This window comes from Homo sapiens, chromosome 5, assembly GCF_000001405.40.
Source record: "Homo sapiens chromosome 5, GRCh38.p14 Primary Assembly".
NCBI classification, from domain to species: Eukaryota; Metazoa; Chordata; class Mammalia; order Primates; family Hominidae; genus Homo; species Homo sapiens.
In genome coordinates, this window is record NC_000005.10 from 35,902,504 (window position 1) to 35,920,541 (window position 18,038).

General features: G+C 40.1%; 1 protein-coding gene across 4 annotated transcripts in view, besides 1 other annotated feature; it reads right to left on the minus strand.

Moving 5' to 3' along the window:
* Positions 1-1,784: 1,784 nt before the first annotated feature.
* Positions 1,785-18,038, minus strand: part of CAPSL (calcyphosine like) — a 34,492-nt gene continuing 18,238 nt past the window's right edge. For 3 of the 4 annotated variants that reach the window (NM_144647.4, XM_006714444.4, NM_001042625.2), the window contains exons 3-5: positions 7,863-8,040; positions 7,363-7,572; positions 1,785-2,143 (exon numbers count right to left, since the gene is read on the minus strand). In NM_144647.4, coding sequence (NP_653248.3) covers positions 2,042-2,143; positions 7,363-7,572; positions 7,863-8,040 — 490 coding nt within the window. In that variant the 3' untranslated portion in view covers positions 1,785-2,041. Of the gene's footprint in view, positions 2,217-7,362; positions 7,573-7,862; positions 8,041-18,038 lie in introns of all 4 variants that reach the window. The other variant, XM_006714445.4, reaches the window with a different exon arrangement.
* Positions 2,092-2,191: an enhancer, noted in NCBI's record as "active region_22472". NCBI's record gives its function as "activates an Ori minimal core promoter by ATAC-STARR-seq in GM12878 lymphoblastoid cells {active_cell/tissue: GM12878}" and the evidence as "EXISTENCE:reporter gene assay evidence [ECO:0000049][PMID:35858748]".

Sequence of the window (18,038 nt, forward strand, 5' to 3'; positions counted from 1 at the left end):
GAATCTTTCTAGAGCAAAAGCCTTGAAACCCATCATCCCCAGGAAATAGGGGACCTCTCCTTAGCCACAGTCTACAAGGCACAGGCTGCAAAAATATATGGATTTTTTTCTATACATTTCTTCACAATTTCTTCTGGTTTTCTACATAAGTCTACATATTTCTTCATAACACTTGGTATCTTTGGCCTAACCAACCTCTATATGAGCAGAGATAATAAATCCAATACAAAATCAAACTTGTGCAATTGTGCAATTAAGTAAAAAAACAAAAACAAAAACAAAACTAGTTTCTGGTAATACGGGGATACACCATCCTCAAGAAAAAGTTGAGCATCTCAACAAGTTACTTAATAACTACTATAATGCCTATGTAGCAGCACTGGTTTTCACATGTTTTAAATTAATACATATCCGAATCTCAACTTCCAAGCGTATGAAATAAAACCTAAACAGTGAATTGATACAAAATATGGCAAGTGTGTTCAATCCCTAAATCCAGAGCCAATTAAGTATATAAGATCTTAAAGAAGACTATTAACCCAATCCTGTCTGCAAACTGGGGGATGAGTGCAGCTAAGGACAGAGTCAAAAGGAGGTATTTCACCCAGCAGCAAGGTGGGTGGGCATTGTCTCCAGCACCATAACCAGAGGCTGGTCACTGTGCTTTTATCTCTGGCCCTAGATACAGAAGACACAGAAGGAGAGCTGTAGTTTTCTTATCTATTTTCCAGCCTCTGGGCTATCTTTGCTTCTAGTAGCCTTTCATGGGCAGAGTCCTACACATCAACGATATGAAGCCAAAGCTTAGTGCTGGGAGGAGGAGGTGTTAAGCCATGAAGCATCAAGATGGAAAACCTGCTTTGGAATATTATTGAAATCCTAGTCCGTGTCACACCCAACCTCCTTGTGCTGGTGGGAATTTTTGTTTGTTTGTTTGTTTGTTTGAGACAGAGTCTTGCTCTAGGCTGGAGTGCAGTGCAGTGGCATGATCTGAGCTCATTGCAGCCTCTGCCTCCCGGGTTCAAGCAATTCTCATGTCTCAGCCTCTGGAGTAGCTGAGATTACAGGCATGTGCCACCATGCCCAGCTAATTTTTTTATTTTTAGTAGAGACAGGGTTTTCACCATGTTGGACAGGCTGGCCTTGAACTCCTGACCTCAGGTGATCCACCCACCTCAGCCTCCCAAAGTACTGGGATTGCAGGCGTGAGCCACTGCACCCAGCCCTTGCTGGTGGGAATTTCAACACAATTGGCAGAAAGCAGAGAGGGGAGAGATAAACATTCCACCAGGTGAAGGCTTTCTGGAATAGCCTGCCCACACACAGCGCAAGATGTCCCAGATAAAATCTGAGCGCCCAGCCCAGTTTCAAAACTTCAGCCACAGGAGTACCATGAACAGGCGTGGATCTACTGCTCAAAGAAATAGCCTCCTCACTCACACCAGTCTTTAAAATGACTATTAAATAAATCATTTTGAATCTATTTGTCAAACTGCGGCTTCCCTAAACCCTAAGCAGTGAAACTCAAGATTTGCTTGTAGAAATTGAGGCTAACACGTGGTCTTCTTCTGGTCCCCAAATGAGACTGAAACACTTAAAGACTTACAATCAGTCATAAAAAGAGATATATTATCATCTCACCTAGAAAAGGATCATCTAAAAGGAGGTGAAGAAAAACTATGGGTGCATGGGTGAGGGTTTTAATTAAAATACTCAAGCTTTCATTAATGGCCAAGGGATAAAACCTAAAGTTGATTAGACACCTGCATGTATCAGCACAGCACTAGGAGCTTTACAGAGCTCATTTTATTTAAGTCCTATTTTAGAACAAAGGAAACAGTCTTAGGCAAGGCAAACTCACAGTTGGCTACTCAATGTCTTTTATTTCTGCCTGTTTTTTGGCCCCAGAAAATGCAATATTTTGACACAGAAAAAAACATTAGGATGAGTGTGAAATCAAATACGATTCTGGTTTTTGAGCTGACATTTAGTCATTTGGAGCCACATGGCTGTCCCAGGGCCTGGTCCCCAGGTCATGTGCTTAAAGCTTCCAGGCGGTTCTCATCATGATGATGAAGTACACATCAGTGTCAATGGATGCGCTCACACCTGCATAGTAGTTCATGAACTCCTCAGGGGTCACCTGCAGTGGAAAAGTTAGAAACAAAAACGAAACTTTGCTTCTCACTCTGTCAATGGGCGCCCACCTTGTGCACCTGTAAATAGAAGGGAAATAGAGGATTTCTTTGTGTATGTGATCATGGCTGAGGAACTGATCTAAAACAAAAGAACAAGTGAAGCTGAGGATGGTGTGAGAACAGCACCTAGGAAGAGAGAAAGAAAGTCTTGAAAGTTTCTAAGCCAACCTAAATGGAAAGTGACGCATAGGTTGTCATCTTTTGTCTAAGGGTGGGAGCCCGTCGGTTCAGGTAAGGGAGACTGAAACTCAGAGTAAGAAGGAAGTGCTCTGCAACTGTAGTTATTTCTGTCTTTCTGTGACACGTCAGAAACAACATGTCATGTCCTTGTGTCAGGGTAAGTGATGTTTTCCCTTTCCAAAAATGGAGTTCTCTCCTGTGGGTGAAGAAACAGATTTCTAGTTAAACGCTCCCGGGTTGCATGCTTTTCTAACACATAAATAACTCATTCAAGGCCCAGGGTGAATAAAAAGCTTACCCCTGCTTCATGCCTCCCACCCATCCTGGCTTCTCTCCACTCTACACCCATGACCATCTCTTTGAAATATTGACTAATGTGTTTATCTGTGTGGGGATTTTATATTACTTTCCTTTGGGGAAGGAGAAAAGACAGTTATTAGTCTTATTTTTAACAGGTCTAGATAATATGTACACTCTAATTTAATCATGTTGGTTGACATGATCGGTTGGGGACATACCTATGCCTTCCAAGAATCATAAGAGATGACTGACCCACTGGTCCTATTGAAATTATAAGTGACCAGAAAAGAAAAGTCACTGGATCCACAGTTGTCTTTCATACCACCCCTTCCCACTAAAAACATAAGGAAGGGCAGTAGAAAGAAAGGCATTTGAACTCAGCTCATAGTTGAACTGTAAATACACATCTACAATACATGCATAGAGCCTCTGTCAAAATTAGGATACCATTAGCATCCCCCTTTGTTGAACTTCTTTATTCCTCTCCTCCTTTGGATTCCTCAGCCTCTGCTTTTCAATTCCCTCATTAAGGGATTACATTAAGTTTCACACATCATTATTGCCCTCTTTCTATCTTTCTCATGTTGTGTGAGGTTCCAGGGAAATGTTTATCAGTGTGGGTCCACACCACCTGCATCAGGACAACCTGGGGTGTCTGTCATAAGCCTAGGCCCACAGGCTGTACCCCACACCTGCTAAATCAGAATCTCTGAAGCAGGTGGTTGTGGAATTTACTTCTTAAAAATCTAAACATCCCAGTTAATTGTTGTGCACACTACAGTAATTTAACTGGGAATATCAAAGATAATTAAGATAAAGTCTCAGTCCTCAAAAAGTTGCAGGCTGGTGAAATACTCCAACAAAGTAAGTGGATCATTTTACAGCAAATAGCAAGTAAACTAAAAGAGTTACCCACGAGACCCTGAGCCATTTTGACGGTGCACTTTACCATGACAGTTTGAGGAACATTTTTTACAGCTAATTATTTTTTAATTAAAAATTATCAAACTCCCGATATTTTTAGTTTGTTATTGTTTCTATTGTCTGTTTGTTGGCCAGGGATGACAGCCATTGAATGAGACTCCCTCCACATCCACTGTAATAATCCTATCCCTAGCTTTTCTCTCCCACAGAAGTTGAAAAACTCAAAACTCACTTTCCCAGACTCCTCTGCAGCTTCAGCTTGGGATGGCCAAGTAATAGAGTTCTCACCAATAAGATACAAAGGAAATTTGACATGAATTTCTAGGGAAGCCTTTGCTTTCCTGATGCAGGCTCCAGCCCTTTCTCGTTCCCTCCTTCTCCCTCCTTTGTCCTGCTGCCTGAAACTCAGATGTGCTGGCTGAAGTTAGGCAACCATCTTGAGATCATGAAGGAAAGGCCAGGAAAATCACAAAGACTTCAGCTCTGCTCTCTTTAAGCCACTCAAGTGAGAACATCAAGTAGAATAAAAAATAAAACCTAATTTGTGTATTCCAGTGTATAATAAGATTTCCTATTTCTTGCAATTGAAAGCAAACCCTAACTGAAACACCAATACATGATTGAGACTGGTATCGTCACCCATCCTTCCATCCCAAACTCCCCCAGTGGGATGGGGTGACCTGAGTTGAGTTGGCTCTGTTGGAGAATGGAGAAGGAATCCAAGATGGGCAAAAGATAAAGGAAGCATTAAACCTCACTTGGAAGTCAGATGACGTCAAGCCAGAGGTCAGAGCTAATGTATTTGATCATTTCAGAAAAAGCCATCAGTTACTCTTAGCTAGGTGTTTGCTTGTTTTCTGAGACTCAACTTATATTGGGAATGGCCTGAATCGCAAATTCTCTGATCTCCTGTAAATTTGCCCTCATCATAGTAAATTGTTGGTTAGCAATAATCACTATCCTTATTCATTTTATTTGACATTAGAAAAAAATGAGAGACTGGGCACTCCTACTTTTAGCAGGCCTCTTGACTAGGCTACCTTTATGTGACAAGATATATATCATATATACAAGGAAAGGTCCCAGATGGGGGTAATGGAAGTCACAATACAAGCCCTTTTTCTCAGCTCCAAATTCATCAGAAAAATCCTAAAACAAATCTAGGTTACTATTAATACATACACTCAGTAATATACCTAACATATTTTTAATTATTTAAAAATTTTTTATGAGATGGATGAGGCAATAGACTGATATTCCCTGAAGGTCTAAAGTCCTAAGAGGCTTTTTAAAAATATAGTGATGATAAAGTCATATATACACATGAAGAATTCAAAACTTAGATATTAAAGAATAAGAAGTAAATGTCTCACCAAATTGTGGTGGGGTTTAGTGATAGAAAAGGGGTAAGGAAAGTCTGTGTCACAGGTTATCTGATTGCTTCACACCTCCATCCAAATGGCTTCCGGCTGCTATGGGAGTCCAGTGAGGTATTAGTGCAAGATTTATGACATCAAATTCCGTGACTGCTGAAACTCCAGCAACCTTTATGGGTATTTGAGAGTTTAACCTAGATTATCAAGTTTGAACATTACCTTTAGCTAGGAGCTATGCTAAATTTTTTGCATTATTTTAAATTTTGTCTTATATGGGATGTTTTTAACCATAAATGAGCACACTGGCTTCAAGTACAGCTATGCTTCACCACAAGCAATCTTAATATGCAAAATAGTGCAATTTGCAAGAGGTAAATTTTAGAAGCTAATTATTCTTCTCATAAAAGAATTTACCATGGAGTTCCTCTACAACAACAATTTCTTGTGCATTTAAAATACAATTCAGTGTGCGAAAGTTTGAATTACACATCACTTTTCAGAAACACTTTTATTATGTCTATTAAATGAGATATCCCTGGTAAGCCCTTAGCAAATGCCCAGTTGATATGTGCTCAAAAAGTGTTGCCCAGATTCATTATTATGCTAAATGGGGTCATGTGTATATTATATTTAGTAATTTTAAAACAGTTATTTCTGAATCTTTTAGAGCTAAGGATCACAAATACACGTGAGTGTAAGAGTCATCTGGTACACATTAAAATGTAAAGCCTTGGACTCCATCCTCCAAAAAATCAGATTCTGTGGTTCTGCAGTGCAGCTAGGAATCTACATTACTAATAAATCCTCCCTGATGATGATTATGAACAGCCAGAGTTGGGTATCAATACAGGGTCTGTAACATGCAGATGACATCAAGTGCTATAACTGCTAAAAACCTCAATAACCTTTATGAGCTTTTGAGAGCTTAATGTGGCTTCTTAAGATAAATATCAAAAGGGGTGATGTGCAGACTTGAATCAGCCGAATCACAACTGGCTATTTTGACTTTTGTTAGAGAAAAGGGTAGCTGAGGTTTCCCCTGGCAATGAGGAGGAACCACCTGCAGAGAGGAAGCAGACACACTCTAGGATCCACAAAGGGGTGGGCTAATTTGGGGAAATGGCAGTTGGCTATTTTTCCACTGACATCTCAGTGATCAAGGCCAGCAATACTGGAAGAAAACATGTAGTTTTTATTTCTGTCCCTAAGATTTTGGCTGCCCTATTGAATTTTGGCCCTTTTGTAAACCTGCCTCCACAATCCTCAGCCTGAAATAGAGGGTATGTCTCCATCCCTGAAAGGGAAATGTCAGCAGGAAGAACAGAAAGGTCACCTTCCTATCCCCCACCCCTTGCTAATGAGACTCATCATGAAGTTTCATTTAAAAAGTTGGAGCACATTCCCTTCAGAAGAGGAAGGTTTATTTCTTCTTCCCTTAACCACTCTCTTCTTGTCCACTGGGCCACTTATCTTTTCCTGTGCTGTAAAGGGCTTAAGAGACAATGAACCCTGGGGCTGTGCTGCTGCTGACTGTTACTCAAGGGACAATCCCCTTTCCTTATCACCAAAACCCTTAGATCATCTAAGAACAGAACTGGCTCAGGGTTTTTTTTTTTTTTCTAAAAAGTCAATTTAGGGCTGTTGATAAAGGACAGATGACATTTTCATCTCAGCCTAGACACAGTCATGGAGCTATATAATTCCTTACCCTACCAAGCTATGCATTTGTAACTTGAAGATAAAAGTTAATGGAGATGGGCGGTTGATTTTGTTTTCAAATTCAGTGCAGTTTAGAAATGTAAGTTAATCTCAAAGCACACTAAAGAATAAATCAGAGTAAATTCTGTTATTTGACATTCCCTTTACCAAAAACTACCTTTAAATGGCATTTCCACATAGCAAAGTGTGAAGATGAATGAGGATGAGTGTGAAGGCACTAAAACATCCTGAAAGGCCTTGTAAATCTGTTCTCCAAAATTAAATTATGATCTCATTTCAAAGTTAAATATATTTTATTATAATCAGTTCACTGGAGTGCAACTAGCTGAGTATGGTAAATATAGTAACCATAAAATGGCATGTTTAATCAGAACATCACATTCCCCAGATGACAGGTCATCACTTATGTGGATCCCCTACCAATATATTTCAATATATGTCTATGAGTGTGTGCGTGCACAAACATACATTAGGTTTCAACTAAAGTAACATGAAGGTTTCCCCTGGCAATGGAGAAGTTTCTAGATTGTTCCTAGGGAAATAGTTTACTTCTATTTACAACAAATATGGTATCAATGTGTTAACATTTTTAAGAGTTTGGACCTATTTCCCATTTACAATTTCGAATTGAAGAAATTTCCCCTAGATTAGGCTCTTTTACTTACCAATCCATCTTTGTCATAGGGTGAATCAAAGTTATCCAGAAATTTCCTAAATACTTGTTCCTCACTCCATTCCCCATTCTGGTACTTTGGGTGGTGTTTTGCATTATATACTTCACGAAGGTCTTCGATTGTTATAACACCATCTCCAGTCTTGTCTAACTTTCTAAAAGCTTGCATGATTACCTCTTTTCTGGCTCTGGACATTGGAGGCTACAAAAATAGAAGAATACATACAGAGACATACATAAGCAAATGAGCTTTTTTGGTATCCTATGTGATAAAATATCTCATTCCCCTCAACGATGTGAAATAATATTTGTGTGCTATTATGTAATAGACACTACAATTGCTCCAAAAATTCCTAAGTCTGTTCACAGTTTTCTGCTTATCCCCCTCCCCACAGTGTACTAACAACTTGTAAAAACAAAACCTCAAGGTAGCCAACCCAAACCACGTGAAAGCCAAACTCAGCAGATACACTGATTAATGGGGCCACTTACTCTTAATGTGAGAAGAAATTCATTGAAGTCTATTGTTCCATTTCCATCTTTATCAAACCTCCGGAAAAGTTCTTCCACCTCTTCTTTTTCCATGACCACAGCATAATCATTTAACCCTTTCATAAATTCTTTAAAATCAAGGGTTCGATTATTATCGTCATCCATAATTCTAAACACTCTGAAGAAAATACACACAAAAATTCAGAAGAAATGTACAAATAACAGGTGTAAGTGTAAAGATTAAAAAAAAATCCACACTCAAGGTTTCGTCAAATTAAAATACAAAAGTCTTAAATTCTTCTCTGCACCCTCCTTTCCAAAACTGGAGAGCCTCTTCCCACCACACACACACAAACACACACACAAAGTATAATTCTAATTACATGACATTCTGCAAAAGACAAAACTGTGGAGACAGTAAAAAGATGAAAGGTAAAGGAAAGAGTTGAATTGGTGAAACATGGGATTTTTAGGTCAAAGAAACTATCCTTTATAATACTATGATGGTGGATACATGACATTATGCATTTGCTAAAACCCATAGCACTTTACAGAGCAAGGTGTAAACCTTAATGCATATCAATTTTAAAAAAATGATTTAGGAAGTCAGAAAATCACAGTGATGTGGCTATGTTAGGGATATAGGAGCCAACTTAAATAGCTCTCAAGATCAAGGCTGGAACAATTAAACCAATAAAACTATGCTGGATTATAACCCAAAATATAAAAAAGAAATCCCTACATCCATACTGGTTAAATAAATGATAGAGTAAATAAAGATGAAGAAAATGACAAATTTCTCTTGCAGAAAAATTCCAAATAAGTTATGGATATATTCTCCTCTCAAGGAGGGAACATATACTCCCCACTCTCTAAGTGTGGGCTCTACAAAGAGGTTTCCTTCCAAAAAGTACGATATGGAAAAGGGAAAAGGGAAGCAACTTTACAATGGAGAAGTCTGACAAATACTACCTCAATCAGGTGATCAGTGTCAACATCAACAGTAATAAATCATGTTAATCATACATATCCTTGGTATAATGTGATAAAAATGGTGCTTTATGTCTGTGGTCCCTAAAAATAATAAGCCCAGTTTAGTCATGAAGAAAAAAATCAGAGAAATTCCAATAGGTGGGCATCCTACAAAATACTTGACCTCTCACATTCATCAAAAACCAGGAAAGTCTGAGAAACTGTCATAACCAACAGGATCCTAAGGAAACATTACAAGTAAATGTAAAGCAGAGTTCTGGATGAGATCTTGAAACAGAAAAGGACACTAGGTAAAAACTACGGAAGTATGAATAAATTATGGGCCTTAGTTAATAATCATGTGCTGGCATTGGTTTTTAAAGTAGTCTATTTAAAAAATAAGGGGGTGGAGCAAGATGGCCAAATAGGAACAGCTCCAGTCTACAGCTCCCAGCGTGAGCGATGCAGAAGACAGGTGATTTCTGCATTTCCAACTAAGGTACCAGGTTCATCTTACTGGGGAGTGTCGGACAGTGGGTGCAGCACACCAAGCATGAGCTGAAGCAGGGCAAGGCATCGCCTCACCCAGGAAGCGCAAGGGGTCAGGGAATTCCCTTTCCTAGTCAAAGAAAGGGGTGACAGACGGCACCTGGAAAATCGGGTCAGTCCCACCCTAATACTATGCTTTTCCAACAGTCTTAGCAAACGGCGCACCAGGAGATTATATCCTGCACCTGGCTCGGAGGATCCGACACCCACCGGGCCTCACTCATTGCCAGCACAGCAGTCTGAGACCAAACTGCAAAGCAGCAGCGAGGCTGGGGGAGGGATGCCCACCATTGCTGAGGCTTGAGACGGTAAACAAAGCAGCCAGGAAGCTCAAACTGGGTGGAGCTCACTGCAGCTCAAGGAGGCCTGCCTGCCTCTGTAGACTCCACCTCTGGGGGCAGGGCATAGCCAAACAAAAGGCAGCAGAAACCTCTGCAGATTTAAATGTCCCTGTCTGACAACTTTGAAGAGAGTAATGGTTCTCCCAGCATGCAGCTTGAGATCTGATAATGGACAGACTGCCTCCTCAAGTGGGTCCCTGACCCCCGAGTAGCCTAACTGGGAGGCACCCCCCAGTAGGGGCAGACTGACACCTCACACGGCCAGGTACTCCTCTGAGACAAAACTTCCAGAGGAACAATCAGGCAGCAACATTTGCTGTTCACCAATATCTGCTGTTCTGCAGCCTCCACTGCTGATACCCAGGCAAACAGGGTCTGGAGTGGACCTCCAGCAAACTCCAACAGACCTGCAGCTGAGGTTCCTGACTGTTAGAAGGAAAACTAACAAACAGATAGGACATCCACACCAAAACCTCATCTGTATGTCACCATCATCAAAGACCAAAGGTAGATAAAACCACAAAGATGGGGAAAAAACAGAGCAGAAAAACTGGAAACTCTAAAAAGCAGAGTGCCTCTCCTCCTCCAAAGGAGCACAGCTCCTCACCAGCAATGGAACAAAGCTGGATGGAGATGACTTTAACAAGTTGACAGAAGAAGACTGCAGATGATCAAACTACTTGAGCTAAAGGAGGAAGTTTGCACCCATGGCAAAGAAGTTAAAAACCTTGAAAAAAAAATTAGATGAACGTCTAACTAGAAAACCACTGCAGAGAAGTCCTTAAAGGACCTGACGGAGCTGAAAACCATGACAAGAGAACTACGTGATGAATGCACAAGCCTCAGTAGCCAATTCGATCAACTGGAAGAAAGGGTATCAGTGATGGAAGATCAAATGAATGAAATGAAGTGAGAAGAGAAGTTTAGAGATAAAAGAACAAAAAGAAATGAACAACGCCTCCAAGAAATATGGGACTATGTGAAAAGACCAAATCTATGTCTGATTGGTGTACCTGAAAGTGATGGGGAGAAAGGAACCAAGTTGGAAAACACTCAGCAGGATATTTTCCAGGAGAACTTCCCCAATCTAGCAAGGCAGGCCAACATTCAAATTCAGGAAATACAGAGAATGCCACAAAGATAGTCCTCGAGAAGAGCAACTCCAAGACACATAATTGTCAGATTCACCAAAGTGGAAATAAGGAAAAAATGTTAAGGGCAGCCACAGAGAAAGGTCAGGTTACCCACAAAGGGAAGCCCATCAGACTAACAGCGGATCTCTCAGCAGAAACTCTACAAGCCAGAAGAGAGTGGGGGCCAATATTCAACATTCTAAAAGAAAAGAATTTTCAACACAGAATTTCGTATCCAGCCAAACTAAGCTTCATAAGTGAAGGAGAAATAAAAATCCTTTACAGACAAGCAAATGCTGAGAGATTTTGTCACCACCAGGCCTGCCCTAAAAGAGCTCCTGAAGGAAGCACTAAATGTGGAAAGGAACAACCGGTACCAGCCACTGCAAAAACATGCCTAATTGTAAAGACCATCGATGCTATGAAGAAACGGCATAAACTAATGAGCAAAATAACCAGCTAACATCATAATGACAGGATCAAATTCAAAGATAACAATATTAACCTGAAATGTAAATGGGCTAAATGCTCCAGTTAAAAGACACAGACTGGGAAATTGGATAAACAGTCAAGACCCATCAGTGTGCTGTATTCAGGAAACCCATCTCAAATGCAGAGACACACACAGGCTCACAATAAAGGGATGGAGGAAGATCTACCAAGCAAATGGAAAACAAAAAAAGGCAGGGGTTGCAATCCTAGTCTCTGATAAAACAGACTTTAAAACAACAAAGATAAAAAGAGACAAAGAAGGCCATTACATAATGGTAAAGGGATCAATTCAACAAGAAGAGCTAACTATCCTAAATATATATGCACCCAATACAAGAGCACGCAGATTCATAAAGCAAGTCCTTAGAAACCTACAAAGAGACTTAGACTCCCACACAATAATAATGGGAGACTTTACCACCCCACTGTCAACATTAGACAGATCAACGAGACAGAAAGTTAACAAAGATATCCAGGAATTGAACTAAGTTCTGCACCAAGCGGACCTAATAGACATCTACAGAACTCTCCACCCCAAATCAACAGAATATACATTCTTTTCAGCACCACACCACACCTATTCCAAAATTGACCACATAATTGGAAGTAAAACACTCCTCAGCAAATGTAAAAGAACAGAAATTATAACAAACTGTCTCTCAGACCACAGTGCAATCAAACTAGAACTCAGGATTAAGAAACTCACTCAAAACCTCTCAACTACATGGAAACTGAACAACCTGCTCCTGAATGACTACTGGGTACATAACGAAATGAAGGCAGAAATAAAGATGTTCTTTGAAACCAACGAGAACAAAGACACAACATACCAGAATCTCTGGGACACATTCAAAGCAGTGTGTAGAGGGAAATTTATAGCACTAAATGTCCACAAGAGAAAGCAGGAAAGATCTAAAATTGACACCCTAATGTCACAATTAAAAGAACTAGAGAAGCAAGAGCAAACATATTCAAAAGCTAGCAGAAGGCAAGAAATAACTAAGATCAGAGCAGAACTCAAGGAAATAGAGACACAAAAAACTCTTCAAAAAATCATTAAATCCAGGAGCTGGTTATTTGAAAAGATCAACAAAATTGATAGAACTCTAGCAAGACTAATAAAGAAGAAAAGAGAGAAGAATCAAATAGACACAATAAAAAATGATAAAGGGGATATCACCACCGATCCCACAGAAATACAAACTACCATCAGAGAATACTATAAACACTTCTATGCAAATAAACTAGAAAATCTAGAAGAAATGGATAAATTCCTCAACACACACACCCTCCCAAGACTAAACTAGGAAGAAGTTGAATCTCTGAATAGACCAATAACAGACCCTGAAATTGAGGCAATAATTAATAGCTTACCAACCAAAAACAGTCCAGGACCAGAAGGATTCACAGCCAAATTCTACCAGAGGTACAAGGAGGAACTGGTACCATTCCTTCTGAAACTATTCCAGTCAATAGAAAAAGAGGCAATCCTCCCTAATTTATTTTAGGAGGCCAGCATCATCCTGATACCACAGCCGGACAGAGACACAACCAAAAAAGAGAATTTTAGACCAATATCCCTGGTGAACATCAATGCAAAAATCCTCAATAAAATACTGGCAAACCAAATCCAGCAGTACATCAAGAAGCTTATCCACCATGATCAAGTGGGCTTCATCCCTGGGATGCAAGGCTGGTTCAACATACGCAAATCAATAAATGTAATCCAGCATATAAACAGAACCAACGACAAAAACCACATGATTATCTCAATAGATGCAGAAAAGGCCTTTGACAAAATTCAACAACCCTTCATGCTAAAAACTCTCAACAAATTAGGTATTGATGGGACGTTATCTCAAAATAATAAGAGCTATCTATGACAAACCCACAGCCAGTATCACACTGAATCGGCAAAAAACTGGAAGCATTCCATTTGAAAACTGGCACAAGACAGGGATGCCCTCTCTCACCACTCCTATTCAACATAGTGTTGGAAGTTGTGGCCAGAGCAATCAGACAGGAGCAGGAAACAAATGGTATTCAATTAGGAAAAGAGGAAGTCAAATTGTCCCTGTTTGCAGATGACATGATTGTATATCTAGAAAACCCCATCGTCTCAGCCCAAAATCTTCTTAAGCTGATAAGCAACTTCAGCAAAGTCTCAGGATACAAAATCAATGTGCAAAAATCGCAAGCATTCTTAAACACAAATAACAGACAAACAGAGAGGCAAATCATGAGTGAACTCCCATTCACAATTGCTTCAAAGAGAATAAAATACCTAGGAATCCAACTTACAAGGGATGTGAAGGACCTCTTCAAGGAGAACTACAAACCACTGCTCAAGGAAATAAAAGAGGATACAAACAAATGGAAGAACATTCCATGCTCATGGGTAGGAAGAATCAATATCTTGAAAATGGCCATACTGCCCAAGGTAATTTATAGATTCAATGCCATCCCCATCAAGCTACCAACGACTTTCTTCACAGAATTGGAAAAAACTACTTTAAAGTTCATATGGAACCAAAAAAAGAGCCCACATTGCCAAGACAATCCTAAGACAAAAGAAAAAGCTGGAGGCATAACGCTACCTGACTTCAAACTATACTACAAGGCTACAGTAACCAAAACAGCATGGTACTGGTACCAAAACAGAGATATAGACCAATGGAACAGAACAGAGCCCTCAGAAATAATGCCACATATCTACAACTATCTGATCTTTGACAAACCTGACAAAAACAAGTAATGGGGAAAGGATTGCCTATTTAATAAATGGTGCTGGGAAAACTGGCTTAGCCATATGTAGAAAGCTGAAACTGGATCCCTTCCTTACACCTTACACAAAAATTAATTCAAGATGGATTAAAGACTTACATGTTAGACCTAAAACCATAAAAACCGTAGAAGAAAACCTAGGCAATACCATTCAGGACATAGGCATGGGCAAGGACTTCATGTCTAAAACACCAAAAGCAATGGCGACAAAAGCCAAAATGGACAAATGGCATCTAATTAAACTAAAGAGCTTCTGCACAGCCAAAGTAACTACCATCAGAGTGAAGAGGCAACCTACAGAAGGGGAGAAAATTTTTGCAACCTACTCATCTGACAAAGGGCTAATATCCAGAATCTACAATGAACTCAAACAAATTTACAAGAAAAAAACACACAACCCCATCAAAAAGTGGGCAAAGGATATGAACAGGCACTTCTCAAAAGAAGACATTTATGCAGCCAAAAGACATATGAAAAAATGCTCATCATCACTGGCCATCAGAGAAATGCAAATCAAAACCACAATGACATACCATCTCACACCAGTTAGAATGACGATCATTAAAAAGTCAGGAAACAACAGGTGCTGGAGAGAATGTGGAGAAATAGGAACACTTTTACACTGTTGGTGGGACTGTAAACTAGTTCAACCATTGTGGAAGTCAGTGTGGCAATTCCTCAGGGATCTAGAACTAGAAATATCACTTGACCCAGCCATCCCATTACTGGTTATATACCCAAAGGATTATAAATCATGCTGCTCTAAAGACACATACACACGTATGTTTATTGTGGCACTATTCACAATAGCAAAGACTTGGAACCAACCCAAATGTCCAACAATGATAGACTGGATTAAGAAAATGTGGCACATATACACCATGGAATACTATGCAGCCATAAAAAATGATGAGTTCATGTCCTTTGTAGGGACATGGATGAAGCTGGAAACCATCATTCTCAGCAAACTATTGCAAGGACAAAAAACCAAACACCGCATGTTCGCACTCATAGGTGGGAATTGAACAATGAGAACACATGGACACAGGAAGGGGAACATCACACACCGGTGCCTGTTGTGGGGTGAAGGGAGGGGGAAGTGATAGCATTAGAAGATATACCTAATGCTAAATGACCAGTTAATGGGTGCAGCACACCAACATGGCACATGTATACATATGTAACAAACCTGCGCGTTGTGCACGTGTATCCTAAAACTTAAAGTATAATAATAATAAAATTTTAAAAAAAAGCTTATCGTCATTAGAGAAATGCAAATCATGTCAGTTAGAATGGTGATCATTAAAAAGTCAGGAAACAGCAGATGCTGGAGAGGATGTGGAGAAATAGGAATGCTTTTACCCTGTTGGTAGAAGTGTGAATTAGTTCAACCATTGTGAAAGACAGAGTGGCATTTCCTCAAGGATGGAGAACCACAAATACCATTTGACCCCACAATCCCATTACCGGATATATACCTAAAGGATTATAGATCTTTCTACTGTAAAGACACTTGCACACATATGTTTATTGCAGCTCTATTCACAACAACAAAAACTTGGAACCAACTCAAATGTCCATCAATGATAGACTGGATAAAGAAAATGTGGCACACATACACCATGGAATATCAGGCTGCCATAAAAAAAGGATGAGTTCATGTCCTTTGCAGGGATATGGGTGAAGCTGGAAACCATAATTCTTAGCAAAGTAACACAGGAACAGAAAACTAAACATCGCATGATCTCACTCGTAAGTGGGAGTTCAACAATGAGATTACGTGGACACAAGGAGGGGAACATCACACAGTGGAACATGAACTTCAGGGGGTGGAGGGCTAGGGGAGGGATAACATTAGGAGAAATACCTAATGTAGATGACAGGATGATGGGTGCAGCAAACCACCATGGCACATGTATACCTATGTAACAAACCTGCACGTTCTGCCCATGTATCCCAGCACTTAAAGAATAATTTTTTTAAAAGATGGAAAGTTGGAGTAATCAGAATCTAAAGACTTTTAAATGTCCTTAAATGCTAAAAATTTGAACTTTATTAGCAAGTCATTTTTAAAGTCATTAAATGGTTGACTTGAAGTGACATTATCAAAATAATGAGAACTTTACCCATAAGAGAGCTAACAGAACTCTAGCAATAATGGGTTGAATGAATTGGAGGACTGAAAACTTAGGAGCAAAGGAACCAGCAAGAATACTATCATAAGAGTCCAGTGAAAAAAATGTTGAGTGTCTACACTTGAGCAATTGGGATGAAAATAAGAAAAATAAAGATTTCAAGATATTATAGAAATAAAGGAGTCAATATGGTGGGCTAATGAAGATAATTCTAAAGTTTTCAACCCAAAGACCTGGAAGAGTAGTAATACTGTTAAAACCGTAGGGGCTGCAGAAGAAGCTCTATTTGGAAAACAAAAAACAAAAAAAATGACTTTTGTTTTGTTTGGATTGGATACTAAGTCAACTATATAGAGATATTCACTGGTTAGCTAGTATCTTTCCTGATTAAAAAAAAAAATATATATATATATATATATAAAAATTGTGAAATTAGTTTGGATCTCAGGAACGGATAGCATTCCAAGAACGTGGCAAGGGGCCAAGGTACAGATGTGCTAACTCAGGAGTAGCCAAGTTGTCTGATAAATTAAGGATACTAGCAAAAGAATCTTGAGAATTTAGATACTAGAGAAGTATCTACATTTACAAGGCAATTGGAAATGACTAAGAAAGAACGTATACTGTTGAAAACCACAAGAATTTCATGTCAAAAAATGAAGGTGCCAAGGTTATAAATAACAAAGTCATCTTGATCTTGGTCAGGATAAAGACTCAGGGTGGAAAGATGGTGCCGGGAGTCAATGCTTCACAGAATGCTAAATGTTGTGCAGGGGGGATGATGGCAGAGCCTAACCTGAAGAGATGCCCTTCTAAGACAGGATTTATGGGAAAGAAATAAATGAACAAAGGGGTGTGTATGACCTGGGATTTGGAGTTAGACTGAAGGAGAGTGTTCAGTCTTCAACTGACCCTAAGGTAGGAGTGGAGGAGAGGGGCAGCTTCCACTTGAGTTAGGAGTTACTTAGAGAAGGCCAAGGCCAGTAAGTGAGGCAGATGGCACATTCTGCAAAAGGCTTAGGATGGAACGGTGTCCATTGACTGTAGACTGGTTCCCAGTGGAAAGGCTGGTAGAGACGCAGTGTGCAGTGGGTATGGGGTGAAGATGGCACAGGTAGCAGGAGGGATTCCACTGAGTGAACCAGAGAGTGGAAGAGAGGATTCCTCAAGGGTTTGCACTAAGGACAATGATGTGGACCCATGATGAATGGGATAGAGGTGGAAGTGACACAATATTGAGGGCATGGGTGCTGGTCTTCCCATTGGACTGGGGCAGCCTGGCCACCAGGGTCCATATCCCCACTGCCTGGCCTTCTGACAGAGCTGGGCTTAGTCTGAGACTTGGGACTGTTCAGAGTTTTCTCCCAGGCACTCAGTACCTTGCTGGAAGTGAAGCCTTCCGCATCTTCTGGGTCCAAGGCTAGATTTCCCTCCCATTGGCACCCTGTACTTCTCTAATAAACAACTTCTCACACCACTGAGATGCCATTTAGATCACTCATATTGTCCATAGTCTTAGTCCTCCATGGGGGCTTAAGAAGCCTTGTTCACCCACGGGTCCCTGAGATGTGTCCAATGCCTGGCCCATGGCAGGCTCTTGATGGAGTTTCTTATAATGCACAGGACCTGCCCTCAGGAGGCTCACAATCTCCTTTCCCTTTTGGTTTCTCAGTCCTTAAAACTATTCACACTCAGAGGACAGAGGGTGGGAGAACAGGAGCTACCCAGCTGAGAGAACCCCATTGGCAGTGAGCTATCAGTTATCTGACA